The 27,707-nt window shown below is 44.0% G+C and overlaps 14 protein-coding genes and 1 further gene across 19 annotated transcripts in view; all 15 read right to left on the bottom strand.

Moving 5' to 3' along the window:
• PCDHGA9 (protocadherin gamma subfamily A, 9) overlaps positions 1 to 5,209 on the bottom strand; it is a 110,198-nt gene extending 104,989 nt beyond the window's left edge. The window contains exon 1 of one of the 2 annotated variants that reach the window (NM_018921.3): positions 2,611 to 5,209. In NM_018921.3, coding sequence (NP_061744.1) covers positions 2,611 to 5,034 — 2,424 coding nt within the window. In that variant the 5' untranslated portion in view covers positions 5,035 to 5,209. Of the gene's footprint in view, positions 1 to 2,487 lie in introns of those variants that run through there. The other variant, NM_032089.2, reaches the window with a different exon arrangement.
• Positions 1 to 10,040, bottom strand: part of PCDHGB5 (protocadherin gamma subfamily B, 5) — a 115,029-nt gene extending 104,989 nt beyond the window's left edge. The window contains exon 1 of one of the 2 annotated variants that reach the window (NM_018925.3): positions 7,463 to 10,040. In NM_018925.3, coding sequence (NP_061748.1) covers positions 7,463 to 9,859 — 2,397 coding nt within the window. In that variant the 5' untranslated portion in view covers positions 9,860 to 10,040. Of the gene's footprint in view, positions 1 to 7,402 lie in introns of those variants that run through there. The other variant, NM_032099.1, reaches the window with a different exon arrangement.
• PCDHGA8 (protocadherin gamma subfamily A, 8) overlaps positions 1 to 15,354 on the bottom strand; it is a 120,343-nt gene extending 104,989 nt beyond the window's left edge. The window contains exon 1 of one of the 2 annotated variants that reach the window (NM_032088.2): positions 12,750 to 15,354. In NM_032088.2, coding sequence (NP_114477.1) covers positions 12,750 to 15,173 — 2,424 coding nt within the window. In that variant the 5' untranslated portion in view covers positions 15,174 to 15,354. Of the gene's footprint in view, positions 1 to 11,203 lie in introns of those variants that run through there. The other variant, NM_014004.3, reaches the window with a different exon arrangement.
• The window catches only part of PCDHGB4 (protocadherin gamma subfamily B, 4), a 125,278-nt gene extending 104,989 nt beyond the window's left edge, over positions 1 to 20,289 (bottom strand). The window contains exon 1 of one of the 2 annotated variants that reach the window (NM_003736.4): positions 17,706 to 20,289. In NM_003736.4, coding sequence (NP_003727.1) covers positions 17,706 to 20,102 — 2,397 coding nt within the window. In that variant the 5' untranslated portion in view covers positions 20,103 to 20,289. Of the gene's footprint in view, positions 1 to 17,690 lie in introns of those variants that run through there. The other variant, NM_032098.1, reaches the window with a different exon arrangement.
• The window catches only part of PCDHGA7 (protocadherin gamma subfamily A, 7), a 130,234-nt gene extending 104,989 nt beyond the window's left edge, over positions 1 to 25,245 (bottom strand). The window contains exon 1 of one of the 2 annotated variants that reach the window (NM_018920.4): positions 22,664 to 25,245. In NM_018920.4, coding sequence (NP_061743.1) covers positions 22,664 to 25,087 — 2,424 coding nt within the window. In that variant the 5' untranslated portion in view covers positions 25,088 to 25,245. Of the gene's footprint in view, positions 1 to 21,986 lie in introns of those variants that run through there. The other variant, NM_032087.3, reaches the window with a different exon arrangement.
• The window catches only part of PCDHGA1 (protocadherin gamma subfamily A, 1), a 182,462-nt gene that overhangs the window by 104,989 nt on the left and 49,766 nt on the right, over positions 1 to 27,707 (bottom strand). The gene's annotated exons all lie outside the window — the stretch shown is intronic.
• The window catches only part of PCDHG@ (protocadherin gamma cluster), a 182,295-nt gene that overhangs the window by 104,993 nt on the left and 49,595 nt on the right, over positions 1 to 27,707 (bottom strand).
• PCDHGA2 (protocadherin gamma subfamily A, 2) overlaps positions 1 to 27,707 on the bottom strand; it is a 174,216-nt gene that overhangs the window by 104,989 nt on the left and 41,520 nt on the right. The gene's annotated exons all lie outside the window — the stretch shown is intronic.
• The window catches only part of PCDHGA3 (protocadherin gamma subfamily A, 3), a 169,147-nt gene that overhangs the window by 104,989 nt on the left and 36,451 nt on the right, over positions 1 to 27,707 (bottom strand). The gene's annotated exons all lie outside the window — the stretch shown is intronic.
• PCDHGB1 (protocadherin gamma subfamily B, 1) overlaps positions 1 to 27,707 on the bottom strand; it is a 162,877-nt gene that overhangs the window by 104,989 nt on the left and 30,181 nt on the right. The window lies entirely within an intron of this gene.
• The window catches only part of PCDHGA4 (protocadherin gamma subfamily A, 4), a 157,955-nt gene that overhangs the window by 104,989 nt on the left and 25,259 nt on the right, over positions 1 to 27,707 (bottom strand). The window lies entirely within an intron of this gene.
• The window catches only part of PCDHGB2 (protocadherin gamma subfamily B, 2), a 152,982-nt gene that overhangs the window by 104,989 nt on the left and 20,286 nt on the right, over positions 1 to 27,707 (bottom strand). The gene's annotated exons all lie outside the window — the stretch shown is intronic.
• PCDHGA5 (protocadherin gamma subfamily A, 5) overlaps positions 1 to 27,707 on the bottom strand; it is a 148,814-nt gene that overhangs the window by 104,989 nt on the left and 16,118 nt on the right. The window lies entirely within an intron of this gene.
• The window catches only part of PCDHGB3 (protocadherin gamma subfamily B, 3), a 142,734-nt gene that overhangs the window by 104,989 nt on the left and 10,038 nt on the right, over positions 1 to 27,707 (bottom strand). The gene's annotated exons all lie outside the window — the stretch shown is intronic.
• Positions 1 to 27,707, bottom strand: part of PCDHGA6 (protocadherin gamma subfamily A, 6) — a 139,085-nt gene that overhangs the window by 104,989 nt on the left and 6,389 nt on the right. The window lies entirely within an intron of this gene.

Raw genomic sequence — 27,707 nt, 5'->3', positions numbered from 1 at the left:
CTGACGGATCCCCGGCGTCAGCGCTTGCTCTGCACTGGCCGACAGCGGCGCCCAGAGGCTCCGTGCGGGACAGCAGCCCGGTTTTTCATTTTGAATTCGGTCTCCGAAATGTATATATTCTTCGAAAATGCAGGTGTACATCCCCCTCAAATTTTGCTCTCACCATAATATTATAGTAGATATTTCTATGCTTTGTGTTTTAAATAAATCTATTATGCACAATTTCAAACTTATACAACAGTAGGGAGTATATATAGTGAACCTTCACATAGCCATCACCCCACCTTCAACAATGATCACCACAAAGCCAATCTTTGTTTAATATATACTGCGCTCCCCCATTATTTTTAAGTAATACGAGATATAGAATGTCAACCAATGCTTCTTTTTAAGATGAGACATTAAGGTCAAGAATTTTATCTTTCAGCTTATGTTCTACAATCTGTTACCAATGCACAATAAGTTAAGTCCTACATAGCCTAAGAAAAACAGAAATAAAGATTTTCCATACTCCATTCAGTCATCTGTCTGGTGAGCCTCGTGTTCTGGTTTTAAGGGCAAGAGACATTTTTGTGGTATCGAATAGTAACTACCTACCATGACATACAAGCCTTCATGGATATCTGTTATGTTTTCCCCAAATTAACATACATTTCAATATTTATAAATACTAAGTATGAAGGCTACTCCTCAGAACAGAAATTGTAACAATTTTCTTGTTGCATGGTTAAAAATATGAGCCTGAAGTATGCTTTATTTTTTTTGCTACCCACTTAAGGGGGAAAACGTGTTTGAAATAATTAAAATGTCTGTATGTCATAAAGGATTCCCAGACACTTCAGCTTTTTTTTCTTAAAAATAAAGCAACTGAAACCCAAATAATTACAAACAAATAAAACAATTCTTCATTTCCACAGAAATGCCAGCAGTCATCAGTGTATCTATGGATCACATGTTTAGCATAGAATTTTGAGTCAACTTCAAAGCTTATTTTCAAATGTCTTGTGAAATGTTATTTACTATTTGAAACAACACTATGTTTAAAATAACATTAAATAATACATTATTCTCTTCCTTATAGCTAAAAACAGTAAAATAGTTTTAGAATCTTCCCAGCAGTTCCTGAGAATATTTTCTTAAATTATATCTGATATGCAAGTTCATTTCTAGACTCAAAAGTTGGAGAATTGAGCCAGAAATAATATATAAGTGAGAGAAATATTTTTAATTCCTTGTTTTGTCATTTCACAGTGTCCAGTCTTAGAAACTTCTCTTGAGCAAGCATATACTATAGAAAAGAAGAATGTCCTACTATTCTCCATAATTTAACATTAAAGCATTAGGAAATTAAGACCTTTGAAGATATGAGAATAAAAGATGTGACAACTTTCACCATTAAAGGGAAAAAATTGGTTTACTAGGGTTTGGAAGTGGATAACTGAAGTTTGAATCTTCGTCAGAAAATATCTGTAAACACAAACAGACTTTACACACTTGTGATCTGAAAAATATAACCTCAAAGAGGTGTTTTCCTGTCATAGAAATGGAAGAATAGAAGCAATAAATCTGGGCTTTCAGCTGTTTCTCTAAGAAGAATACATTTACCTTTTTATCAGTTTACCCTTACAAACATAGTATGACCTGAATAAATGATCGTAGGAGTAAGAATTTGCTGGGTGAGGTGGTTCACACCTCACCCAGTGCTTTGGGAAACTGAAGCAGGAAGATCGTTTGAGACCAGTCTGGGCAACATAGCTTGCTAGCCCTCCCACCTCAGTCCTAGCTACTGTGAAGGCTGAGGTGGGAGGATTGCATAAGCCCAGGAGATTGAGACTGCAGTAAGCTTTACCCACACCACTGCATTCCACCCTGGACAACAGAATGACACCCCCATCTCTTAAAAAAAAAAAAAAAGGAGTAAGAATTTTATGATATGAGTCCACTGCAACCAATGAAGCAACCCTACCCAAAAAGCCCACATCAATGCAGGCTGAGAGCTACCCCATGAAGTATGGTTTACGTTGACAGCAGGTTAATTATTATGAGAACATGAAAGTTATATCAGCAAATATAACTAATAAATGCCTCCTTTCAGTGTTGGAGCAACAATTAGGCCCAGTGAAAAGTGATGAGAAACACACTGATATCAACTTATACTACCTTAAGTACAGACAGTTAAAGAGAAAGCTAACTATAATAGAAAGTTAAGGGCCAGGCGCAGTGGCTCACGCCTGTAATCCCAGTGCTTTGGGAGGCTGAGGTGGGTGGATCACTTGAGGTTAGGAATTCAAGACCAGCCTGGCCAACATGGTGACACCCCGTCTCTACTAAAAACACACAAAAAATTAGCCGGGCGTGGTGGCACGTGCCTGTAGTCCCAGTTATTCTACTTGGGAGGCCTGTAGTCCCAGCTACTCTACTCTAGTCCCAGCTACTCTACTTGGGAGGCTGAGGCAGGAGAATCGCTTGAATTTGGGAGGCGGAGGTTGCAATGAGCCGAGATCACACCACTGCATTCCAGCCTGGGTAACAGAGTAAGACTCTGTCTCAAAAACAAAACAAAACAAAAAACAAAAAAAGAAAAGAAAGAAAGAAAAAAAATGAACTCACCGGAACCAAAGGGGTGTCTTCTATAGGAAACTTGGAATCAACAGAGACGCACAAAGGCTCATTTTTCTCACAGCTCTGCTGGCTGATGAGTGTGTCTGCATAGTTGGGCTGGGGGAAGATCAGGTGACTCTTCCTTGAGTCAGCGGTGAGGGAGAACTCCTGAGAATAGGTCTGTAGGAAAGCTCGAACCCCATCTACACCCACAAAGTGTGAGGTGGGCACACCAGCCAACCCATCACTGGTAGCCCGCAGCAGATGCGAGGAGTGCCAGTGCCTCAGCCTGAGGGCCAGCAGCGTGATAACGAAGGTGAGGAAGACACAGGAGACGACTGCCACAGCCACAACGAGGTAGAGGGTAAGGTCTGAGGCCTCCAGGTCTGCAGGGATCTGAAGACTGCCCAGGTCAGCCAGGATGTCTGGGATGCTGTCAGCTATGGCTACTGTGAGCGTGACAGTGGCCGAGAGAGGGGGCTGGCCATGGTCCTGTACAGCCACCACAAGGCTCTGTTTGAGCGCATCTCTATCTAGCAGGGCCCGAGCTGTGCGCACTTCACCTGTGTGCAGCCCCACCGAGAAGAGCCCTGGCTCACTGGCCTTGAATAGGCGGTAGGAGAGCCAAGCATTCTGGCCTGAGTCTCTGTCCACTGCCACCACCTTGGTCACCAGGTAGCCAGGCTCTGCAGAGCGGGGTGCCAGCTCCACACCAGTAGAACCATCAGTGGGGAGGGCAGGGTACAGGATTTCTGGGGCATTGTCATTCTGGTCCAAAACAAACAGTCTCAATGACACATTGCTGCTAAGTGGTGGGCTTCCACTGTCACTTGCCGTCACCTGCATTTGCAAATCTCTAAACTGCTCATAGTCAAAGGAGCACAGAGCATACAGCACACCAGTGTCTGAGTTAATAGAGACATAGGTGGAGAGAGGAGACCCTTGGATGGTATCCTCTGCCAAGGAGTAAATAACTCTAGAATTCTCATTGCTATCAGGGTCATAGGCAATCACGGAGAAGATGGAAGTACCTCTGGCGTTGTTTTCCGGGAGGTAGACTGAGTAGGAGGCTTGAGAGAAAGCAGGTGGATTATCATTGATGTCAGTCACTTGCAGGGTGATGTGAATTTCTGTGGACAGGGGCGGAGTTCCTCTGTCTGTTGCAGTCACCGTGATATTATATTCTGAGGCTTTTTCTCGGTCAAGAATTTGGGCCGTCAACAATCTGTAATAATCTTCTTCTGAATTTTCTAATGTAAAAGATAGATTCTCCTGGATAGAACAGACAACTTGACCATTCTTCCCGGAGTCTCGGTCATGAGCATTGAAAAGAAGAATTACTGTTCCCTGAGGTGCGTCTTCTCTCACTGGGCTAAACAGAGATGTAATGGTCACTTCAGGTCTATTGTCATTTACATCTTCCACCGAAATGAGCACTTTTGTCCACCCTTTCAATCCCCCACCATCTTCAGCTTGTATTTCCATTTCATAAAATGAACATTCTTCATAATCTAGACTTTTTGCTGTTGATATTTCCCCAGTATTTTCATTAAGCTGGAATAGCAGAGATTGTTTTTCATTAATTTTCCAGAATTTGTATGCCACTTTTCCGTTGATTCCCTCATCCAGGTCGCTGGCTGTTGCAGTAAGCAGCCAGGTGCCTGGGGGCACGTTCTCAAGGACTTTAACTCGGTAAATCCGTTGAGCAAAAACCGGGGCATTATCATTTGTATCCAACACTGTCACATGGATGCGCACTGTGCTGGAGCGACGCGGCTCGCCGCCATCCGAGGCCGTGAGGACCAGGTGGTGGGCAGTTGCCTCCTCCCTGTCCAGGGCGCGCTCCAGCACCAGCTCTGGGTTTATGGCTCCATTGTCTCCAGTCTGCACGTTCAGGGAGAAGTGGTGATTGGGGCTGAGCTGGTAGCTCTGGAGGGAGTTCACGCCAACATCCGGATCAATAGCTTCTGGAAGTGGATAACGTGCTCCAGGAACCGCGATTTCGTTAATTTTTACTTCCAGACTTTCGGCCTGGAACTTTGGGGCGCTGTCGTTAATATCAGTTACTTCTATTTCTATTCCGTACAGTTTCACTCTGTCTTCAACCAGGACTTTAAAGTTCACCAGACACCGCGGGCTCTGAGCACAGAGCTCCTCCCGGTCTATCCTACCCGCGGTGACCAAGGTGCCGCTGCGCGGGTTCAGAGAGAAAAGCTGCGTCCTACCTCTAGAGACGATGCGGACTCGGCGCTCCGCCAGCTCCCGGGGCTCCAGAGCCAGGTCCTTGGAGATGTTGCCCACAATATAGCCCTTTTCTGTCTCTTCAGGCACTGAGTAGCGAATCTGACTGGCCCTGGCCTCCCATAGCATCCCCAGGAGCGAGCATAGCAGGACTAATCTTCCGCGGAGCTGGCATTTGGTTGGAGCTGCCATTGCTGCCTCGCTTTGGAATTTTCTCAAAAGGATCTCTGTGCGCGCTGCTTCATCAGGTTCTTTCTTCCACCCTGCAAAGTATGGTGATCTTTTCCTTAGAAGAAAGAGGCTGAGTTTTGCTGCAGCCTGGGAGCAGGTTTGTGGTATCTGCCGGGTTTTGTGTAGCCGCAGAACTGGAAATCCGGATGGAGTCCTGATTTTCGCTTAGAGTTGATCAACAGCGGCGCTCAGAGTCCTAAGCCGTTACTACACCCACTGATGTGTAACATTATATCAGATGGCTGATAAAGAAAACACTACTCTCTTCTAATTATGATTTTAGATTTCTCCAATTGTTTCTTGCATTTGTATTTCAAAAGCAATCTATTTTTTAGATATCTGAGTTGTAAATAAAGTGGAATAAAATTTCTGTAAGTGTATTATAAAATCACAAACCATTGCTTAATATTAATTTATTCTTATTCTTGGTAGAACTTTGCACTCTATTTCTAGATATGTAAACTATTATAATTTCCTTTTTATGATGCTTCAATTTTTTCTGTGTATCTTAACAATTTTCTGAAGTAATTTTTATGTGCAATCTTGTTTGGAAGTACATTCATTTTTAATTTTTATACCTATATATTTGTAAATGTAAAATATATAATTGTATTAATACATATATAAGGATAGATTATCCACTTTGAAATTATTTTCTGGGGTTTATTTTGATGATAAAATTCCTGGAAAAACGTTTATTTTAAATTTTTGTATTATAAAAGTAATATTAATTCAGCAATAGTTACAGATGTTCTCGCCTAATATTGCTAAATATTAACAGGATTAAAGTTGGAAATTTTCACATTTTTGTAATTGCTTAAACTTTTCTGCTATTTCAAAAATGCTTAGTTTTTTAATGTGAATATGTAATGCATGCACAGACTGTGTTTCAATGATTCAAATGCATATACACTGAAAAGCAAGTTTCTATTTTAATCCTTCATCAATAAATTATGCAATTTTAAAGTGGTCTTAAACATTATTCTAAGCATCACTTAAACTTATATAATAATTTGGGAAAAAGAACACAAAATATACAACAAAGAAAACTACTGAAAGGTTAAAAGTAAGTGGTATTATAAGAAATCTCAGCACTTTGTAAGGAACCCATTTACTGAATCACATACTAAGGGAAACCAAGCAAAAGACTTATACCATGTAATGGGAGCTTTGTATGTACACAAGACTAGTAGTTTTTGTCTTAAAAATGGAATAATCCTGTATTCACCTTCCATCCTACAAGGATGTTGAGAAAACATCCAGTCATTTATATTTAAAGCTCCAAACGATAAGACAAATCCGGTGTCTTTTTCCCCTTCTTCAAGAATATGTCAGGATTCCGAGCAAGAGAAATTCAGGCAATAGCATTTCCTTTTTTTTGTAAGTTTCTTCTGGTAATTATATAGAGGTGGAAAAGGATTTTGCATCCAAGAAAACCTGGATAAACTTAGAAAATTATTTGGATGATTTGGACCTTCTAAGTTCAGTGAATCAGTCTCTCTCTTTCTCTCTCATACACATAACATGTAGTATTTTTCTTCTTCTTCCTCTCCTTCTCCTTCCTTTTTTTTGAGATGGAGTTTTGCTCTTGTTGCCCAGGCTGGAATGCAATGGAGTGATCTCGGCTCACCGCAACCTCCACCTGCCAGGTTCAAGCAATTCTCCTGTCTTAGCCTCCTGAGTAGCTGGGATTACAGGCGCCCGCCACCACACCCAGCTAATTTTTGTATTTTTAGTAGAGACGGGTTTTCACCATATTGCCCAGGCTGGTCTTGAACTCCTGACCATGTGATCCAACCGCCTCGGCCTCCCAAAGTGCTGGGATTACAGGCATGAGCCACTGCACCCAGCCAACATATAGTATTTTTAATAAAATTTTAGGAGATTCAAAAAATCATAAATCCATTAGGTAGGAATAAGAAAGCATATATGAGGAACATAAGAAAGAGATGAAAACTACCAGTGAAATCAGTGAAGAAAGACATCTACTAGCAGTTTCTTTGCTTTAAAAGATGAATTAAATGATTACATACATTAAATTTAATGGTTTATCTACATACAATAAAATATAAACATGTTAAAGAATGAGACAACGAATAGGTAAAATTCATTAGCTTTGAGAAAGAGGACAAAAAAACGCACCAAATGTTTTTGCTAGAGAGGAAGCTAAGAGCAAACTCTCACTACTTTGTAAATCTATAAGGCTACTTCTTTTATGCGACATAAAAACTCACAATTTACTGCTCCTCTTAAAGAATGGTAGGACAGCTTTCTGAGCAGCTCTGACTTCCCTAAGACAACTCATTGGACTTGAAAATGTACGATAGTTTCATGTAAATACAGAAAATTGGGTGGGTAATGAAAAAGAATAGACATAAATGAAACTCACCAACTCAGGATGGGAAGTCGACTCGCTGGAATTACAAAGTGGAAATAAGGCCCCAGATGAATCACCACAAAGTATGTCTTGTCCTGAACTCAATTGCTCACTACATTTTAGGAAATTAAACTCCGTCTTTCCTGTATGTGCAACACATAGGTTGTAGGAATAAGGCAAAGTCCCCTGACTGTAGTTGGGGGGAACCACAGGTCCAGACTTGACACAGAGACCAGGTTGGAAGCAGCTCCAGGCGGCAGGGCTGGAGGAGCGTCGCAGGCGCAAGGCAACGGCCAGAATCACGGCCAGGAGGAAGAGCACTGAGATCAAGGCCAAGGCCACCACTAGGTAAAACTGCAGCTCAGCCTGGGGGTCAGAGGGTACAGGGCGGTCAGTGATATCCGGCAGCACCTCCTGCAAGCTGTCAGCAAAGACCAAGTGCAGCGTGGCGGTGGCGGAGAGTGGCGGCTGTCCACCATCACGCACAGCAACCAGCAGGCGCTGGCGGGCCGCGTCCCTGTCGCCCAAGGCACGCGCTGTGCGCACCTCTCCTGTGCGCAGCCCCAGGCTGAAGAGCCCGGGCTCGCTAGCCTGCAGCACGTGGTAGGACAGCCAGGCGTTGTGTCCTGAGTCTGCGTCCACGGCCACTACCTTGGTCACCAGGTAGCCGGGCTCTGCAGCGCGCGGCACCATATCGAAGAGCGCAGAGCCGTCGGGACCCAGCGCGGGGTACAGCACCCGCGGTGCGTTGTCGTTTCGGTCGCCCACCAACACGCGCAGGCTCACGTTTGCGCTGAGCGCAGGCGAGCCCTGGTCGCGGGCCTGTAGTGTGAGTTCGAAGGTGCGCAGCTGCTCGTAGTCAAAGGCGCGCTGCGCGAACACCACCCCACTTTGCGCGCTCATGGACACGTAAGAGGCCAGTGCCAGAGGCTCTAGGTCGCTGGCCATGATAGAGTAGGAGACTTGGCCGTTCAACCCCAAGTCCAGGTCCGAGGCGCAGACTTGCGCGATGGAGGCCCCAGGAGGGTTGTTTTCGGGTACACTGACTAAGTAGGACGCCTGGTGGAAAACCGGAGCGTTATCGTTGACGTCTCTGATATGTAGGATGACGCTTATGCTGGAGGAGAGGGGCGGCTTGCCCCTGTCTGTGGCTGTGATGGTGACATTGTACTCCGGGGTTTGCTCTCGGTCTAGGGTTCCATCTGTTACCAACTTATACGAATTTTTGGATGAAGAGATAATCTTAAAAGGGACTTCGCCTTGTAATTGACAATTAACCTCCCCATTTTCCCCAGAATCTTGGTCATGTATTTTGATCAAAGCAATTAGTGTTCCAGGCACCGCGTTTTCCAGAATCATTTCAAGTAGAGAATGGAATGTAACTTCTGGGCTATTGTCATTTTCATCTTGAATATTAATTTCAACTGTACATTGTGCAACCAGTCCACCACCATCCCTCCCTTCTACAACCATTGAATATTCCTTGGTCTCTTCAAAATCCAGTTTCTTTTGAGTGGTAATTTCTCCGCTCTTTGAATTCAGACTAAAGATTTGCCCGGTTCTGTAGAAGGAATAAGTAATTTCTGAGTTGATGCCCTCGTCTTGGTCAGTGGCTGACACTTGCAACACAGTGGTGCCTGGTGGCACGTTTTCCCGAAGGCTGACTCTGTACACGTCTCGGTTGAATACCGGGGGATTATCATTGGCGTCGGTTACCTGGATCCGGAGCTCAGTGGTGCCGCTTAGGGGTGGATGTCCACCGTCCAAGGCAGTCAGGACTAAACGATGGTAACTCTGTTGTTCCCGGTCTAAGGTTTTCTCCAGTGCCAGTTCCGGGTATTTACTACCATCCTGTTTCTCCTTAATTATTAATGAGAAACTTGGGTTAAGAGAGAGTTTATACTTCTGCAGAGAGTTTAAGCCAATATCTGCATCTTCTGCTACTTCTAGTATAAATCTTGTGCCAGGCTGTGCAGACTCACTTATTTGCAGCTCAAAGGAATTTTGCGTGAATTTTGGCGTGTGGTCATTAATGTCCTCGATCTCCACATTCACGTGATAAAAGTTCAGTGGATTTTCAGCAACAGCCTCAAATTCCAGAGCACAAGCTGGCTTCTTCCCGCATATCTCCTCCCTGTCTAGCCTGCTGCTCACAAGCAACTCCCCGCTCTCTGCGCTCACGGTGAAGTAAGGCTTCTCCGAACTGACGCGCAGTTTTCGAGTCGGTAACTCCTGGACGCTGAACCCCAGGTCCGTGGCGAGGTTCCCCACTACGGAGCCCTTGGGCATTTCCTCGGGAATCCTGTAGCGGATCTGCTCACAGAGCGCCGGGCAGAACAAAGACAGCAGGAAGAGAAAGAGCACTGGCAGCCTCTCAGCCCGGCCCAGCTCCCCGGCGCCGCTCCCCATCCCTCTTGCTCTCCTCAGCTTGCTCACCAGCCTGGAGACGCCAGGTTACAAATAACCTCTGTATTGTAGATTTTTGGATCTCCGAACGGGCTTTAGTTCCAGTTCCAGTTTAGGAAACGATTCTTTTTCCGAGGAGGAAGCGGTGTAAAGGCCGGCGCTGGGGAGTCTGAGCTGGGGCTGCCCTGGAAAGCGCGCTGCGGCTGCGCGAGGAGATCTGGAGCGCCAAGCTCTGCACTTTGGCCAACAGCGGCGCCCAGAGTCAGCACTAGGAAACTACAGCCTCTGCGGCTTCAAGTTAACCAGTGCAGTAATTGTTTTTGTGTGCCTAACTTAACAAGCCAAGTTTTTACGTCCATATACTTAATAAAAAATTATAACAACTTCTTTAAGGTATCTTTCTCTGTTTTCCAAATTGTTAGAAATATCACGTTGGGTTTTTATACAAACCTGCATACATTGGTCCATTCTTTCACCATTCTGCAAACATACCTTGAACTCTTAGCTAGAACTAAGTATTGCCCTTGTCACTGGCAATATAATAATTAATATGATACAGTTCTTGCTCTCAGAGCCTTCATACTATACTGATTTCAAAAATTCATTTTTTATTAGCTATGGAAACAATTTTATCATTCTTCTGTTCATTTCTATGATTTCCAACTCCCCAATATTTCTAGTGTTTTATATTACACATATTAGGGAAATCTATACTATTTAAAACTATTTTGTAAAGTTGTGGCAATTTTATACCAATCCCCAAACATCTCCTCTTCCTGACTATATTAACATTCTTTATAAAAATAATTTTTCTTTACTCTTCTACTTCAGGAAATATTCATTCAAGTATACTGCCCATATGATGTAGCTAAGAAATGATATACCCTACTACGTTGCTCTTCTTCATATCTCAAAATACTTCTCTTATGTCATATCTTTTACAGTACATAAATTCATTCTTAAGAGTTATTGGGGAAATGCTTATCTATTCTGCAATACAAGGTACAAAGGGATATTCTAGTGGATTGCATTATTATCCTATCTGAAATGACTTTGGAATTGGATAAATGAAGCTCATAAGTTCATTTACATAAATTTGTGGACATTGGTCAACCTTCTTTAGTCCATTTGTCAGATTAATAAAAACAACTAGCCAACATTTTTAGGGAGAGTAAGGATTTTCTTTCCTACCAGGGCAACTTTCATCCGAGTTTTTAAAATTGCAAAGTGCCAATAATATGTTGTCCTCTCAAATGTGCATCCAAATGGTACACAAACTATGAAGTTAACTCCCACTCCACTGAATATGCACCATACAGTAGAACACTACACAATCCTTAGGAAATGTCCTTTTCATTAATAACAAACATTTATTGGGTCATCTACTTCTACCTTACAACAATCAATTCAGGTATTAGCTTTATTCAAATGCTACAAGAAGGTATGCAGGAATACAATAATGGATAGCCTATACCGAGTTTTTACTATTAATATTAGTTTTTTTTTTTTTTGAGACGGAGTCTCACCCTGTTGCCCAGGCTGGAGTGCAGTGACAGGATCGAGGCTCACTGCAACCTCCACCTCCCGGGTTCAAGTGATTCTTCTGCCTCAGCCTCCCGAGTAGCTGGGACCACAGGCGCATGCCACCATGCCTGGCTAATTTTTGTAGTTTTTAGTAGAGACGGGGTTTCACCATGTTTGCCAGGCTGATCTTGAACTCCTGACCTCAGGTGATCCACCCACCTCAGTCTCCCAAAGTGCTGGGATTACAGGCGTGAGCCACCGCACCCGGCCTAATAATAGTTTTTTTAGAGACAGGGTCTAGTTCTGCCACCTAGGCTGGAGTGCAGTGGCATGATCATAGCTCACTGCAGTTTCAAACCCCCGGGGCTCAAGCGGTCCTCCTGCCCCAGCCTCCCAAAGTGCTGGGATTTCAGACATGAGGCACTGTGTCCAGCCAAGACTGAATAACTTTAATTGAATTGATCAGCTTATTTAGAACTTGTGTACCTGAAACATTGGTTCTTAATATCAACATTCTCACCACTTCACATCAATGCACAACCGAAACAGCTAATTGGAATTGTATTGAAATATGTTCTTACATATTTTACAAAAGTCACTTTCAACAGTTTAAAATTACATTTTAATTCAGATCTAATGTTTTTGCTTTTGTTTTTTGTTTGGGGGAGCAATGGACATTCTAGGCTTTAGATTTCATGTCTCCATGGGCATGGAGCCCAGGTGACCACTGACTCACATACTTAATATTTAGTAACCAGTCTCATCTCCCACCAAGATCCATCTTTAAAGTTTGTTCATGTTTTGAAGGATGGTAAGAAGTATTAAAGTTTTGAAGGGCACTGGTACAGAAACAGGGCTCAGAAAAGAGGTTTAAAGTGAAGAAATCTACAAGAGCCTAGTTACAGGTTCAAATGCTAAACATAACCCTAAAAATTCTGAGATATATTTTACTTTTGCTAAGCTAATAACAAGGCTTTAGACTTCTTGATAATTTTCTGAAGTTCTAGTTTGGGATACACACACACACACACACACACACACACACACACACACACACACACACAAACAATAGCAAAATTACCAGTATGGACGGGTAGCTACTTCTTAAGTGAATGAGTGATAATAGGAATAAAATACTGGAAGGCTTAAAATGGTTGAACAATCTTTTCCAAGTCGTTTAAAAGCAAATGAAACAATAACCTATGACTATTAGAGTTCAATTTTATAGTAACACCACCAAAATAAACCCAAAACTCTGTGATACACCTTAAAAATTATTTTCAACTATCTTCACAATGTTTTTCAAAACATAATTTATGCCAAATAAAATTCATCTGGAAATTAAAAGCAAGCAAAGAACTAAACTCACCTGACCATGATCAGCTTCATTCTTATATTCATGAAAATCTACGGATGTTAACAAAGAATCATTTTTCTCACAGCCCTCCTGACTGATGAGCATGTCTGCGTAGTTGGGCTGGGGAAAGATCAGGTGACTCTTCCGCGAGTCGGCGGTGAGGGAGACTTCCTGGGAATAGGTCTGCAGGAAAGCCTGTACCTCCTCAACACCCACAAAATGTGAGGCAGGCACGCCTACCAATCTGCCACCGGAATCCTGGAGCAGGCGTGACTTGTGCCAGCGCCTCAGCCTGAGCCCCAGAAGCACAGCGACAAAGGCGAGGAAGACACAGGAGATGGCAGCCACTGCCACCACGAGATAGAGTGTAAGGCTCGAATCGTTCGGGTCGACCGAAGGCTTCAGACTGCCCAACTCGGTCAGGACTTCGGGGATGCTGTCAGCCACGGCTACGGTGAGCGTGACAGTGGCGGAGAGAGGGGGCTGGCCATGGTCCTGGACGGCCACCACGAGGCTCTGCTTGAGCGCATCTCTGTCCAGCAGGGCTCGCGCCGTGCGCACCTCGCCCGTGTGCAGACCCACCGAGAAGAGTCCCGGCTCGCTGGCCTTGAGCAGGCGGTAGGACAGCCAGGCGTTCTGGCCCGAGTCTCTGTCCACCGCCACCACCTTGGTCACCAGGTAGCCACGCTCTGCGGAGCGGGGCGCCAGCTCCACGCCAGTGGAACCGTCTGTGGGGAGGGCGGGGTACAGGATCTCGGGCGCGTTGTCATTCTGGTCCAGCACGAACAGGCTCAGTGACATGTTGCTGCTGAGGGGCGGGTCCCCGCTGTCGCTGGCTGTTACCAGTAGCTGCAGGTCTCGGATCTGCTCATAGTCGAAAGATTGCAGCGCATACAGGACACCGGTGTCAGAGTTGATGGAGATATACGAGGACAGGGGCGCCCCCTGCAGCGTGTCCTCGGTCACAGAGTAAGTGACCTGGGCATTCTCCTGGCTGTCGGGGTCGTGTGCAGTCAAGGAAAAGATGGAGGCTCCTCTCAGGTTGTTCTCTAGGATATACGCTGAGTAGGAGGCATGAGGGAAAGTAGGAGGGTTGTCGTTAATGTCTGCCACGTGCAGAGCGATTTGAGTTTCAGTGGACAGAGGTGGTGTTCCTAGATCTGAGGCCATCACTGTGATATTGTAGATAGAGACATTTTCTCGGTCCAAATATTTCCTTGTCACTAATCTATAATAATTACCTATTGACTTTTCTAATTTAAAAGGTAAATTATCACGTGTGTAACAGACAACTTGACCATTCTTTCCAGAGTCTTGGTCATGCACACTCAAGAAGGCAATTACTGTCCCGGGAAGAGAATTTTCTAACACTGGGCTAAACAAAGACGTAATGATCACTTCTGGTCTATTGTCATTTACATCTTCCACCGAAATGAGCAATTTGGTCCTCCCCAGAAGTGCCCCCACATCTTCGGCTTGTATTTCCATTTCATAAAATGAACATTCTTCATAATCTAGACTTTTTGCTATTGATATTTCCCCAGTATTTTCATTAAGCTGGAATAACGGAGTTTGTTTTTCATTAATTTTCCGGAATTTGTATGCCACTTTTCCGTTGATTCCCTCATCCGGGTCGCTGGCTGTTACAGTAAGCAGCCGCGTGCCTGGGGGCATGTTCTCAAGGACTTTCACTCGGTAAATCGGGTGAGGAAAAACCGGGGCATTGTCATTTGTATCCAACACTGTCACGTGGATGCGCACTGTGCTAGAGCGAGGCGGCTTGCCGCCATCCGAGGCCGTGAGGACCAGGTGGTGAGCAGCCTCTTCCTCCCTGTCCAGGGCGCGCTCCAGCACCAGCTCTGGGTTTATGGCTCCATTGTCTCCAGTCTGCACGTCCAGGGAGAAGTGGTGATTGGGGCTGAGCTGGTAGCTCTGGAGGGAGTTCACGCCCACATCCGGGTCAACAGCTTCTGGGAGTGGATAACGTGCTCCAGGAACCGCGATTTCGTTAATTTTTACTTCTAGATCTTCGACCTGGAATTTTGGGTTATTATCGTTAATATCAATTATTTCTATTTCTACCCCAAAGAGTTTTCCTTTATCCTCAACCAGGGTGTTAATATTTATCAGACACCGCGGGCTCTGAGCGCAGAGCTCCTCCCGATCTATCCTGCCCGCGGTGATCAAGCTGCCGCTGCGCGGGTTCAGAGCAAAGAGCTGCGTCCTACCTCTGGAGACGATACGGACTCCGTGCTTCGCCAGCTTCCGGGGGTCCAGCCCCAGGTCCTTGGAGATATTACCCACGAAGGAGCCTTTGTCCGTCTCTTCTGGCACAGAGTAGCGAATCTGTCCCCTCCCGATTTCCCACAGCGTTCCCAGCAGCGCGCACAGCAGGATCAGCTCGCCGCGTCTGGGGCGACTCTGTGGAGCGGCCATTGTTGTTTTGCTGCAGAATCCTCTCAGAATCTTCACTGTGCATAAATGGGTCTTATTTAGTTTCTTGCCGCAGCTATGGAGATGACAATCCTCCGGAAACCTGGAGTGCCTCCAAACAGGGGTCGGGTTTCGCTGCAGTCCAGCAGTTAGTTTGTGGCATCTGCGGGTCTTCGTGAGGTGTGAGATCTGAGTGTTTTCGGTTGCATTTGTCTTCCAGTAGGTGAACAGCGGCGCTTACAGTCCTAAATAGTTACTGCACTGAGATACAGATTACTTCTAAATGTAATACTCTACTAGATTACTGAGAAAAAAAAATCATTTGCTTATTACTTTGTTTTGAATTTATTTGATTTATCCGTAAACCCATATTTTAAAAGAAACAGCCAAAGAATGTGAGATGAAGGTTTTATTTAGTGTTATTAAATGATCAGATTAGATCAGAATGATCAGATTGTAGCATCGGATTAAATTACTCACATTTCTGCAATACATTTGGTCTTAAAAAAAACATGATACTTTCATTTCCCATTGTGCTCTAAGCTTTATTGTAAATGTCTCCAATATATACTAACAAATAACTAAGAACTTCAGTTGTCACCAGAAATGAATTTATCTTGAGACTAAAATAGACCTACTGGAGATGACTGACTCAGAAATTGTTTTATTTGGTTTAAACTACTTAATCATTTTACAAGCTTTCTATAGAGTTGTTGCTTTTAAATTATTCTTCTAAATGCCACTTGAATTACATGTCGATAATATTTTCAAATAAAAATTGTGGAATTTCAATAGGATAAATGCTTTTACCATTGCAGTTTTATGAGATATTACATTGTTTTGCTATTTTATTTACATTGTTTATATTTTTCTATTTGAATACTTGAAAGGTACAGATGAATATATGATAAAAAGCAAAGCTCCATCCCATCCCTTTCACCAAAGAGATGATTAAATTTAAAGCAGACTTGACTTTTACATATATTCTAAAATTAACTTTACCTACATTAACACTTTGATCTAAAAAACTGCAAAAAGTAATGACTATATAATACTTACTAAGAAGCCAAAGGATAAGTATGACTACAAAAAAGTCTGTTTCCCTTCAAGACCAGCCTGGGCAACGTAGCAGATGAACTTATTTCACCCTTCCTTTGAAGACTGGTATGATAGTTTTTTCACTGACTAAAACTTTCTTAAAACCACTCATGAAATCTGAAAACTTTATATTTTCCTGTGAATATATTTTCTTATGCATATGGAAAACTGGGTAGACAATGGAAACCATACCAGTTAAATTAGTGAAAGAAAATATTTTCTCTACTGAAAACAGAAAAATTAGCCAGGTCTGGTGGCATGAGCCTGAGTTCCAGCTAGTCAGGAGGCTGATGCAGAAGGAATGCTTGAGCCCAGGAGTTTGAGGCTGGAGGGAGCTATCATTGTGCCACTGCACTACAGCCTGAGTAACAGACAGAGACTCTGTCTCAAAAAAAAAAAAAGAAAAAAAAAAGAATCGAAAGACGTTTCCTTCTTTCAGCAATTTGTAAAGTGGCCATTAACTGAAGCAGTTGCTTAGATATACCTAGCAAAAGGCTCATATAATGTTCCTTGGTATTTTGTATATATTTTGTATGCACACCAGATTGGCAGTTTTCAAGACTATATTTCTTTCCTAGAGGTAGGAGAATGATTAGAAGACCTCTAGCTATATTAGTTTAGGGCTGCAGATAAGGCAGTTACACATTATATATTAGGGCTGTGTGTGAGAGGGACAACAGACACAAAACATTGTCTTTTCTTTGATGAAGGATATAGAATGAGCTTGAATACAGATTAATCCTGAAACTCCTATGTTACAAGTAAGGAGAATCTGCTTTTGATCTTCTAATGAGCATAGTAGACCTTTTTCTAAGTAAAAGGATCTCTCTCACACACACACACACACACACGCACACACAGCGTACACTGCATATAATCACAAGGGGTCCATGGACATAAAAATCCAGTTGACTCCTTATTCTAAGAGCTTTTGAAACAAAAGGGAAGTTAACACAGGAAACAAAACAGTGGACTACTATGGAGACCATACCAGTTAAATTAGTTAAGAAAAGTGTTGAATTTTAGCTTAAATTCTTTGGCTTTATTATTTTTATATTTATGGTATATCCAAGCTGAAAAAAGTATTCATCATATATTAGTCAACAAGAAGGAAAATGTATAGGAAAAATCTCATTCACTTTTTAGGAGAGAGCCAACAACTGTCTAACACTTTCACTTTGTGGTTAAAACCACACCCTCATTGCTTTATAAATCTAAGCTTGGCTAAAAAACAAACAAATGTTGGGCCACACAATTGCTCCTACTTTACTCCTCCTTTGTAGAATGATATGACAGCTTTTTAACTGACTACAACTTTCCTAAAATGATCCATGACATCTAAAAATTATATATTTTCCTGCAAATATGTATATTTTCTTGTGAATATGGAGAAATGGGTAGGCAATGAGCATTAAATTATACTTAAAGGAAACTCACCTGATGGGAAGTCAATTCACTGGAATTACAAAGTGGAAATAAGGCCCCAGATGAATCACCGCAAAGTATGTCTTGTCCTGAACTCAACTGCTCACTACATTTTAGGAAATTAAACTCCGTCTTTCCTGTATGTGCAACACATAGATTGTAGGAATAAGGCAAAGTCCCCTCGCTGTAGTTGGGGGGAACCACGGATTCGGATTTAACACAGAGACCAGGCTGGAAGCAGCTCCAGGAGGCGGGGCTGGAGGAGCGTCGCAGGCGCAAGGCAATGGCCAGAATCATGGCCACGAGGAAGAGCACTGAGATCAAGGCCAAGGCCACCACTAGGTAAAACTGCAGCTCAGCCTGGAGGTCAGAGGGGTCGGGGCGGTCAGTGATATCCGGCAGCACCTCCTGCAAGCTGTCGGCGAAGACCAGGTGCAACGTGGCAGTGGCCGAGAGTGGTGGCTGTCCACCGTCACGCACGGCGACCAGAAGGCGCTGGCGGACGGCGTCCCTGTCGCCTAAGGCACGCGCTGTGCGCACTTCGCCCGTGCGCAGCCCCAGGCTGAAGAGCCCGGGCTCGCTAGCCTGCAGCACGTGGTAGGACAGCCAGGCGTTGTGTCCTGAGTCTGCGTCCACCGCCACTACCTTGGTCACCAAGTAGCCAGGCTCTGCAGCGTGCGGCACCATATCGAAGAGCGCAGAGCCGTCGGGACCCAGCGCGGGGTACAGCACCCGTGGCGCATTGTCGTTGCGGTCGTCCACTAACACGCGCAGGCTCACGTTCGCGCTGAGCGCTGGCGAGCCCTGGTCGCGGGCCTGCAGTGTGAGTTCGAAGGCGCGCAGCTGCTCGTGGTCGAAGGCGCGCTGCGCGAACACCACCCCGCTCTCCGCGCTTATGGACACGTAGGATGACAGCTCCCGCTGCTCCAGGTCACTGGCCATGATGCAGTAAGAGACTTGGCCGTTGGGCCCCAAGTCCGGATCAGAAGCCCTGACTTGTGAAATAGAGGCTCCAGGCGGGTTGTTCTCGGCCACGTGGACTATATAGGAAGACTGTGAGAAAACCGGAGCGTTGTCATTTACATCACCAATGTGCAGGGTGATGCTGGAACTGGAGGAGAGGGGAGGCTTGCCCCGATCTGTTGCCGTAACGGTTATATTGTACTCTGGATTCTGCTCGCGGTCTAGAACAGCATCTGTCACTAATTTATACGTGTTTCTTGAAGAAGTTAATATTTTAAATGGAACATCACCTTCCAATTTACAAGTCACTTCTCCATTGTGTCTGGAATCCTTGTCACGGACTTTGAGCAAAGCAATATGTGTTCCCAGCTCGGCGTCCTCCATAATTAGGTTGGGTAGAGACTGGAATATCACTTCTGGGGCGTTGTCATTTTCATCTATGACTTCTACCTCCACTGTGCATTGCGCAATCATTCCTCCACCGTCCCTTGCTTCCAAAACTATGGAATATTCTTTGACTTCTTCAAAATCTAATGTATTTAAAACAGTAATTTCCCCGGTGTTAGAGTTCAGGTCAAATTGGGTGATCTGGCTAGCTTCACTGAAAGAGAAAGTAATCTCGGCATTGACACCCTCATCCTGGTCCGTGGCAGTCACCTGTAGCACCGTGGTCCCCGGGTACACGTTTTCTGAAAGGCTCACCCTGTATACGTCTTGACTGAACACTGGAGCATTATCATTGGCATCAGTCACTAGAACGTGTATCTGTGCAGTGCTGCTTAGGGGTGGAGCTCCAAAGTCCAAGGCAGTCAAAGTCAAGTGGTAGGATTTCTGCTTTTCTCTGTCCAAAGGTGTCTTCAATACCATCTCAGGGTATTTACTGCCATCTGATTTCTCTTTATTTATCAGTGAGAAATGATCACTGGGACTGAGTTGGTAATTCTGCAGTGTGTTGCTACCAATATCCGCATCATGGGCAGATCCTAATATAAATCGTGTGCCAGGCTGTGCAGACTCACTTATTTGCAGCTCAAAGGAATTTTGCGTGAATTTTGGCGTGTGGTCATTAATGTCCTCGATCTCCACATTCACGTGATAAAAGTTCAGTGGATTTTCAGCAACAGCCTCAAATTCCAGAGCACAAGCTGGCTTCTTCCCGCATATCTCCTCCCTGTCTAGCCTGCTGCTCACAAGCAACTCCCCGCTCTCTGCGCTCACGGTGAAGTAAGGCTTCTCCGAACTGACGCGCAGTTTTCGAGTCGGTAACTCCTGGACGCTGAACCCCAGGTCCGTGGCGAGGTTCCCCACTACGGAGCCCTTGGGCATTTCCTCGGGAATCCTGTAGCGGATCTGCTCACAGAGCGCCGGGCAGAACAAAGACAGCAGGAAGAGAAAGAGCACTGGCAGCCTCTCAGCCCGGCCCAGCTCCCCGGCGCCGCTCCCCATCCCTCTTGCTCTCCTCAGCTTGCTCACCAGCCTGGAGACGCCGGGTTACAAATAACCTCTGTATTGCAGATTTTTGGATCTCCGAACGGACTTTAGTTGCAGTTCCAGTTCAAGAAAAAATTCTTCTTTTTCCGAGGAGGAAGCGGTGTAAAGGCTGGCGCTGGGGAGTCTGAGCTGGGGCTGCCCTGGAAAGCGCGCTGCGGCTGCGCGAGGAGATCTGGAGCGCCAAGCTCTCCACTTTGGCCAACAGCGGCGCCCAGAGTCAGCACTAGGAAACTACAGCCTCTGCTGCTTCAAGTTAACCAGTGCAATAATTATAATTGTGTGCCTAACTGAAAGAACAAAAACTACGTGGATACGTCTGTATATTTAATGACGTCTAAAAATGTACTCTTAGGAATGCCTTCATCCCAACTTTGAGGATTTTTAGGCAAATCATGTAGATTAAGTACATAAACATTTATTGACATAAGCTTTCCCCAATCTTCAAACATGCACTATCTATATAAAGATAGCCATAACACAGACTTGGCCTAAACCGTCTCAGAGTACAGTAATTTTCCATACTTACTCATTAGAAATATACTGGATACATTTTATCTTTCTTTCATTGTTCCTAACATTTTCTCCACTTTTCTAAGTACCTCCAAGTTGATTTATTTCAACTTTTTCCGGAGAGTATCAGTAATACCAAAATTGCCTTTTAGAAGGTGCAATTTATACTTATCTTCAAATACACCCCCTTCCCAATAGTTTCAGTGATTTCATTACAGGAATATTATGTGATTCTCATTTCGATGATCACAGGCAGTAGCCTACTCCTCTCCTCATTACACAATTATTTTACTGGTTATGAAATACAACATTCATCTTCAAAGTTATCAGGGGGATAATACATAGCCTCAAAACACAAAGTCACTGAGATCTGCTGCACTGAAGCACTGCTTCCTACCTCTGCACTTATTTTACATTCCTTGGTGACCTCTGAATTGAAGGAAACAATCCCTGGAAAGTTTGATTGCAATAGCTCACTGAGTTTAGTGATTATGTCTCTCCATTGCTTAAAAACAATTTTATGCATCTAATAAATTTTGGTCAGGAGATTTTCTTTTACAAAATACCTTATAACCGTAGTTCTGCCATAGGATCTTCCCTCAGTAACATTGTTGGTGTCAGCAACATTGTCTTCTACCCCAAGTGATTGTACATCTGAAATGTGAACACTGCAGAACTTGTAAAATGTATCCAGCCTGGGTGACAGAGCGAGACTCCATGTCAAAAAAAAAAAATGTATCCCCCACACTATTGTACAGAGTCTATCATGTGCAAAATACTACCAAATACAACACTAGTCTAAAAAGAGTCTTTTTTTGAAGAGACAGAGTCTTGTTATATTATCTAGGTGGGCCTCCAATTCTTGGGTTCAAGCTGTCCTCTTGCCTCAGCCTCCCATGCAGGTGGGCTACAGCTTGCAACACCATACCTGGCTAAAAGTGTGTTTTTAATTAATACTCAAAGGTCTCTGGAATCAAGATTACCTTGTCATCCACCCCTTCTGGATGACAATCACTTGATATACTGAGCTTTACTAAAATGTTATACAAAAGAATATGGAAGTAGTTAATCCCAGATTGGGTTATTTCCAACTGAATTTTTCAGTAGACCTAATAAATAAAATCAACTACTGGTCTAGGATCTGTGTACATAAGATGGTCTAAGGTTTGAGTACGTGAGACAGTTGAAACAAAGCCAGTATCCCCAATCTCCCACTTTGATAGCCCACAGACACACTTCATCTGGCTGTACCACTAAAACAACATACTGGAATTCTCTGTTAAAACATGTAATTGCCTATGTCACAAATGCCAATTACAACACTTAAAATGACATTTTATTTGACATATTTTATTGGTTTTGTCCGATGGCCTTTAGTGTGGCATTAGACTTGATGTCTGTCTTTGATATAGATCTTAGTGAAGTGTGATACACACACATTTCATTCTTTAGGCATAAATCCAACCTTCTACTACCACCCCATTAATAAATGATTATACTGTAAATAGGTCAAGAAGCAATCAAGATTTTTTAGGACCACCAAGCTGAGGTACATGGAGGCAGAATCAGCCACAGAAAAAAATCTTCACATGGAAGAAATCTTTCAGAACCTTTTACATATTTGAATGCTAAAGAGAATCCTGAGAAGACAGCTGAGGTGTGTTTTATTCCTGCTAACCTTGTGCAATATGAAAGACTCGATTCATTCCAATGTATAAAATATATGAGTTAAGAAAGTAGGTTGGAACATAGATTGGAAAGTAGGTGGAAATTATAAAATGTGATAGTCCACATATTCATAATCTTGTCCATAGGCTTTCACTAAAGAAATACTATATCCTATGTGTTCTATATTAAAGTGTCACCACTGAAGGAAACTGGTAAACTCATTTTTACCTCTATAAAGTTTTTTAAATCCCTATTTTCAAAACATTTGTTTTGCAAAATAATAGAGAAATATCATGCAAATAAATTCCTCATGGAAATAAAGGAAGGGCTGGGCTCACCTGAATACTTGGCAGGTTTTCTTTACATTCCTGAAAATCTACGGATGTTAGCAAAGAATCATTTTTCTCACAGCTCTCCTGGCTGATGAGCATGTCTACATAGTTGGGCTGGGGGAAGATCAGGTGACTCTTCCGAGAGTCCGCGGTGAGGGAGACCTCATGGGAATAGGTCTGCAGGAAAGCCTGCACCCCGTCCATGCCCACAAAGTGCGAGGTGGGCACGTTCGCCAAGCCACCTTCTGAAGCCTGCAGCAGGCGTGACTTGTGCCAGCGCCGCAGCCTGAGCGCCAGCAGTACGAGGACGAAGGCTAGGAAGACGCAGGAGACTGTGGCCACCGCCACCACCAGGTACAACGTGAGGTCATAGTTGTAAGGACCGTCGGAGGGCTCAAGGCTGCCCAGGTCGGCCAAGACTTCGGGGATGCTGTCAGCCACAGCCACGGTGAGTGTGACGGTGGCTGACAGAGGAGGCTGACCGTGGTCCTGGACGGCCACCACGAGGCTCTGCTTGAGGGCATCTCTGTCCAGCAGGGCCCGAGCCGTGCGCACCTCGCCCGTGTACAGCCCAACCGCAAAGAGTCCTGGCTCGCTGGCCTTAAGCAGGAGGTATGACAGCCAGGCGTTCTGGCCTGAATCTTTGTCCACCGCCACCACCTTGGTCACCAGGTAGCCGGGCTCTGCGGAGCGGGGTGCCAGCTCCATGCCAGTAGAACCATCTGTGGGGAGGGCCGGGTACAGGATCTCGGGCGGGTTGTCATTCTGGTCCAGCACGAACAGGCTCAGTGACATGTTGCTGCTGAGAGGCGGGTCCCCGCTGTCATGTGCAGTCACTCTTAGTTGTAGTTCTCTCAACTGCTCATAATCAAAGGATTGCAGCGCGTACAGGACTCCAGTGTCAGAGTTTATGGAGACATAGGAGGACACTGGAGCCCCCTGGATGGTGTCTTCGGCCAAGGAATAAGTGATCTGGGCATTATCCTCACTGTCGTGGTCCTGTGCAGTCACTAAGAAAATGGAGGCCCCTCTGGGGTTGTTCTCAGCGATGTAGACTGAGTAGGATGAGTGGGGGAAGGTGGGTGGGTTATCGTTGGTGTCTGCCACCTGCATGAATATGTGAGTTTCCCTGGACAAGGGAGGAGTTCCACCATCTGTGGCTTTCAGTGTGATGTTATACAAAGAGAGTGTTTCCCGGTCCAAGTTTTTGGTTGTGACCAATCTATAATAATTATCTATTGATTTTTCTAATTTAAAAGGTAGGTTTTCTGGAATGGTGCAGGTCACCTCACCATTCTTTCCAGAATCTCTGTCTTGTAGGTAGAAAAGAGCAATGACTGTCCCAAGAGGTGTGTCTTCAGGGATTGAGCTACTTAAAGACGTCATAGTCACTTCTGGAGCATTATCATTTACATCTAAAACTGTGATCAGTACTTTTGCCTTTGTCAGACTACCAGGACCATCTTGAGCCTGAACCTCCATTTCATAGAAGGCAGTTTCTTCATAATCTAATCCTTCTAAAGTTGATATTTCTCCTGTAAGCGAGTTCAGATGAAACATCTTTGGAAGTTTAGGAGTTATTTTCCGAAAAGAATATGTCACTTCCCCATTGACTCCCTCGTCCAGGTCGATAGCATGTACCGTGAGCAGTCTTGTACCCACTGGCACATTCTCGGGGACAGTTACTTGGTACTGAGGCAGAGAGAAGACAGGCGTGTGGTCATTCACATCCACCACTGTCACCTGGATGTGGGCGGTGCTGGATCGGGGCGGGTCGCCGCCATCAGAGGCTGTGAGGACCAGGTGGTGAACCCGCTCTTCCTCCCGGTCCAGCACCCGCTCCAGCACCAGTTCCGGGTACTTAGTTTCATCGTCTCCACTTTGCACAGCCAGGGAGAAGTGGCGATTGGGGCTGAGCTGGTAACTCTGGAGGGAGTTCGTGCCCACATCTGGATCCCCAGCCTCGCTTAACGGAAACCGAACCCCAGGAGCTGTATTCTCCATTATTTTTACATTTATTTCTTCCGTCAAGAATCTTGGAACGTTGTCATTAATATCTATTATTTCCACGTCTATAGGGTAAAGATTCATTTTATCTTCCATCAGGATGTTAAAGTTTACCAGACACCGCGCACTCTGAGCGCAGATCTCTTCCCGGTCTATCCTGCCCGCAGTGACCAAGCTGCCGCTGCGCTGGTTCAGGGCGAAAAGCTGCGTCCTACCTCTGGAGATGATGCGGACTCCGCGCTCCGCCAGCTCCCGGGGCTCCAGCCCCAGGTCCTTGGCGATGTCTCCCACAAAGGACCCTTTGTCCGTCTCCTCCGACACGGAGTAGAGAATACGTCCTGCCCAGGCTTCCCAGGGGGTCCCCAGGAGGATGGAGAGCAGGAAGAATCCTCTGTAGTCCCCGCCCCTCGGCTGAGCCGCCATAGTCGTCCTGCTTCTCTTGCTTAGGCGCCGATCTCGGGAAGTGCTTCAGAATGCGGGTGTATCCGGGTGGACCCCTCTGTCTTAGGAAGGGGAGCTCAGAATCCAGCAGGATAGAGGCTTGAGTTTAGTGCAGCCTGGAAGAGGGCTTATCGCAATCTGTCGTTTCTCTGTGCTGTAAAACTCGGTGGTTTCTGTGGGATCTCTCGCACCATTTTTCCCTGGTTGGTGAACAGCGGCGCTGTGAGTCCTTACTAAGTTACTGCACCACATTGATGCACACAATACACTGATTTCATAGAAAATTGTTTCATCTTTCAAAATTTCCCTGTTAGATTTCTTTGCTCTAGATATCCCTGATAATTAAAAATCCATTTTAAGACACTGAATTAATGCAACAGTGTTCATGGACCGGTGTTTGATAATCTTAGATAATTTTTAAAAAACTGCTTTGCCTTGCAACTTTCAAGTGACTCTTTTGGGCACTGACTCACACGTTATTGCACATGGGAAAATCAGTTATTGAAGGCAAAAAGGTAAATTTTATTTAAATACATATGAAAGATTTTACTTAGAAAATATTTACATCAGTGTATATAAATTTTAATTAATTCAGTATTAATTGAACACATATGTTCTAGACACCATGATGCAAGATTCAGAAAGTCAAAATTGTTGTAAAATATATAGACCTATTTTAATAAATTTTTGATTGTATAGAACCTTAGAGACGGTCTAACACCTTCATTTTAACCGTTTAAAAAATGAGAGGGGGGGCCAGGTGCTGTTGCTCACGCCTGTAATCCCACACTTTGTGAGGCCGAGGCGGGCGGATCACCTGAGGTCGGGAGCTTGAGACCAGCCTGACCAACATGGAGAAACCCCGTCTCTACTAAAAATACAAAATTATCCGGGCGTGGTGGCGCGCGCCTGTAATCCCAGCTACTCAGGAGGCTGAGGCAGGAAAATCGCTTGAACCCGGGAGGTGGAGGTTGTGGTGAGCCGAGATCACACCATTGCACTCCAGCCTGGACAACAAGAGCAAAACTCTGCCAAAAAAAAAAAAAAAAAAAAAAGAAGAAGAAAGAAAGAAAGAAAGAAAGAGGGAATTGCCTTGCCTTGTTCCTGATTATTGATTATATAGTAGTAGAACAATGTCGGAATCCAAATATTCTCACTCCCAGTCTTGTGAGAAAAAAAGAAAGAAATCGTTGTTTGTCTTGGCTGCAGCAATCAGCTATAGAAGCAACCCATTTTCTACAGAAGGCAGAAATCTGCAGAGATCCTACTGGGCTGTGAATTCATAAGAAACTGGATAATGGATTGGCTGATTCTTTTCATTATGCAATTCAATTCAAGTCTTCATCCTAGTATGCAATTCAAATCTTCATCCTACTCTATTCTAGTGTAATTGAGAAAACAGGGATCTCTAGACAGCATTTGAGCAAAATGCAGGACTGTCCTGACAGGATCCTTAGAGGTACTCGTCTCTCCACTGATGTTGATAGAGTAAAACTAAATTATTGATGGATCCGAGGCTACCCTCTGCTAGCAGAAAGAAAAGAAAGCTCCTTTCACATAGTTGCAGAATAAAAGAGAATGACCTGCTCTGGAATAAAGACCTGGCAAGAAACAGTCTTGGTTTGTAAATTCTTCTAGGTCCTGGAGAGTAGTTGGTGGAACCAGGAGGAGAATCCAGAACTAACACTAAGAAAGCTTAACTTCGTTTTGTGGGAGGCTCCTAAGTAACCTATTTCTGCTTTCTGGTGGCATTGCTCCAGAATACAGGGAACACTTTGAAGGACATTCTGTTTTGATCTATCAAAATAATCCATAGTTATCTTTGCATTCACAAAGTAGATAAATTTTGTTTAAAGGAACTAATAGAGGTATTATAGATGAATTCTGTAAACTGGAGTTAAATTCTATTTGTTTAATAGTACTTTTGAACTTCTTGTTGAGGCAAGCAAAGTGTATGATTATTAAACAATGTAAGCACTTGTAGATATTTTCAAACAAACTTTCATGTTTGGAGGTTATAGCTCTCAATGTCTTGATCCATTTTTACCTGATGCCTCAAAATTCATAGTTTCATCTCACATTTGTTTCTTATTCTACTGTTTTAAAAAAGTCTCAATTAATTTATAGTGTCTTGGTACCTTCTTTGGAGAAAAGGAAATAAGAGCTAGTTAAATTAAATTATAGACTACTCCGAACACAAAGCATACATACCCTATGGAGTAAATGGCTTCATTGTCTCTAGCATTCACATTTTCTAAGTTATCGAACATCATAAAATTAAATATTAAAGATCTTTACTAGACCGCCAAGATATGTTTAATAAAATCTAACATAAGCTCATTGTATCAAATTGAAATCATTTCATAGTTTAAAGAGTGTATATTATTGTTGACTGAGATATTGGGAAGAATCCTGACCATTTGTTTGGTTGCATTAAAAAGAATTCTATGTAAAGTCTATTTGGCTTCCTGGGCATCGAATTGATTATCTTCTCTCTTTTCTTTTTTGGGACTTTTTTTTCTAAAAAACAAACAACAAAACAGTTCTTTGAAGTTCCATTTAGATTTTCATTCTCAAGCAAAGATATAGGTATCTTCCAATG

The sequence above is a fragment of the Homo sapiens genome, chromosome 5 (assembly GCF_000001405.40).
Source record: "Homo sapiens chromosome 5, GRCh38.p14 Primary Assembly".
Taxonomy (NCBI): domain Eukaryota; kingdom Metazoa; phylum Chordata; class Mammalia; order Primates; family Hominidae; genus Homo; species Homo sapiens.
Note: the sequence above shows the minus strand (reverse complement) of the source record. Positions and strands in the feature narration are given on the sequence as shown.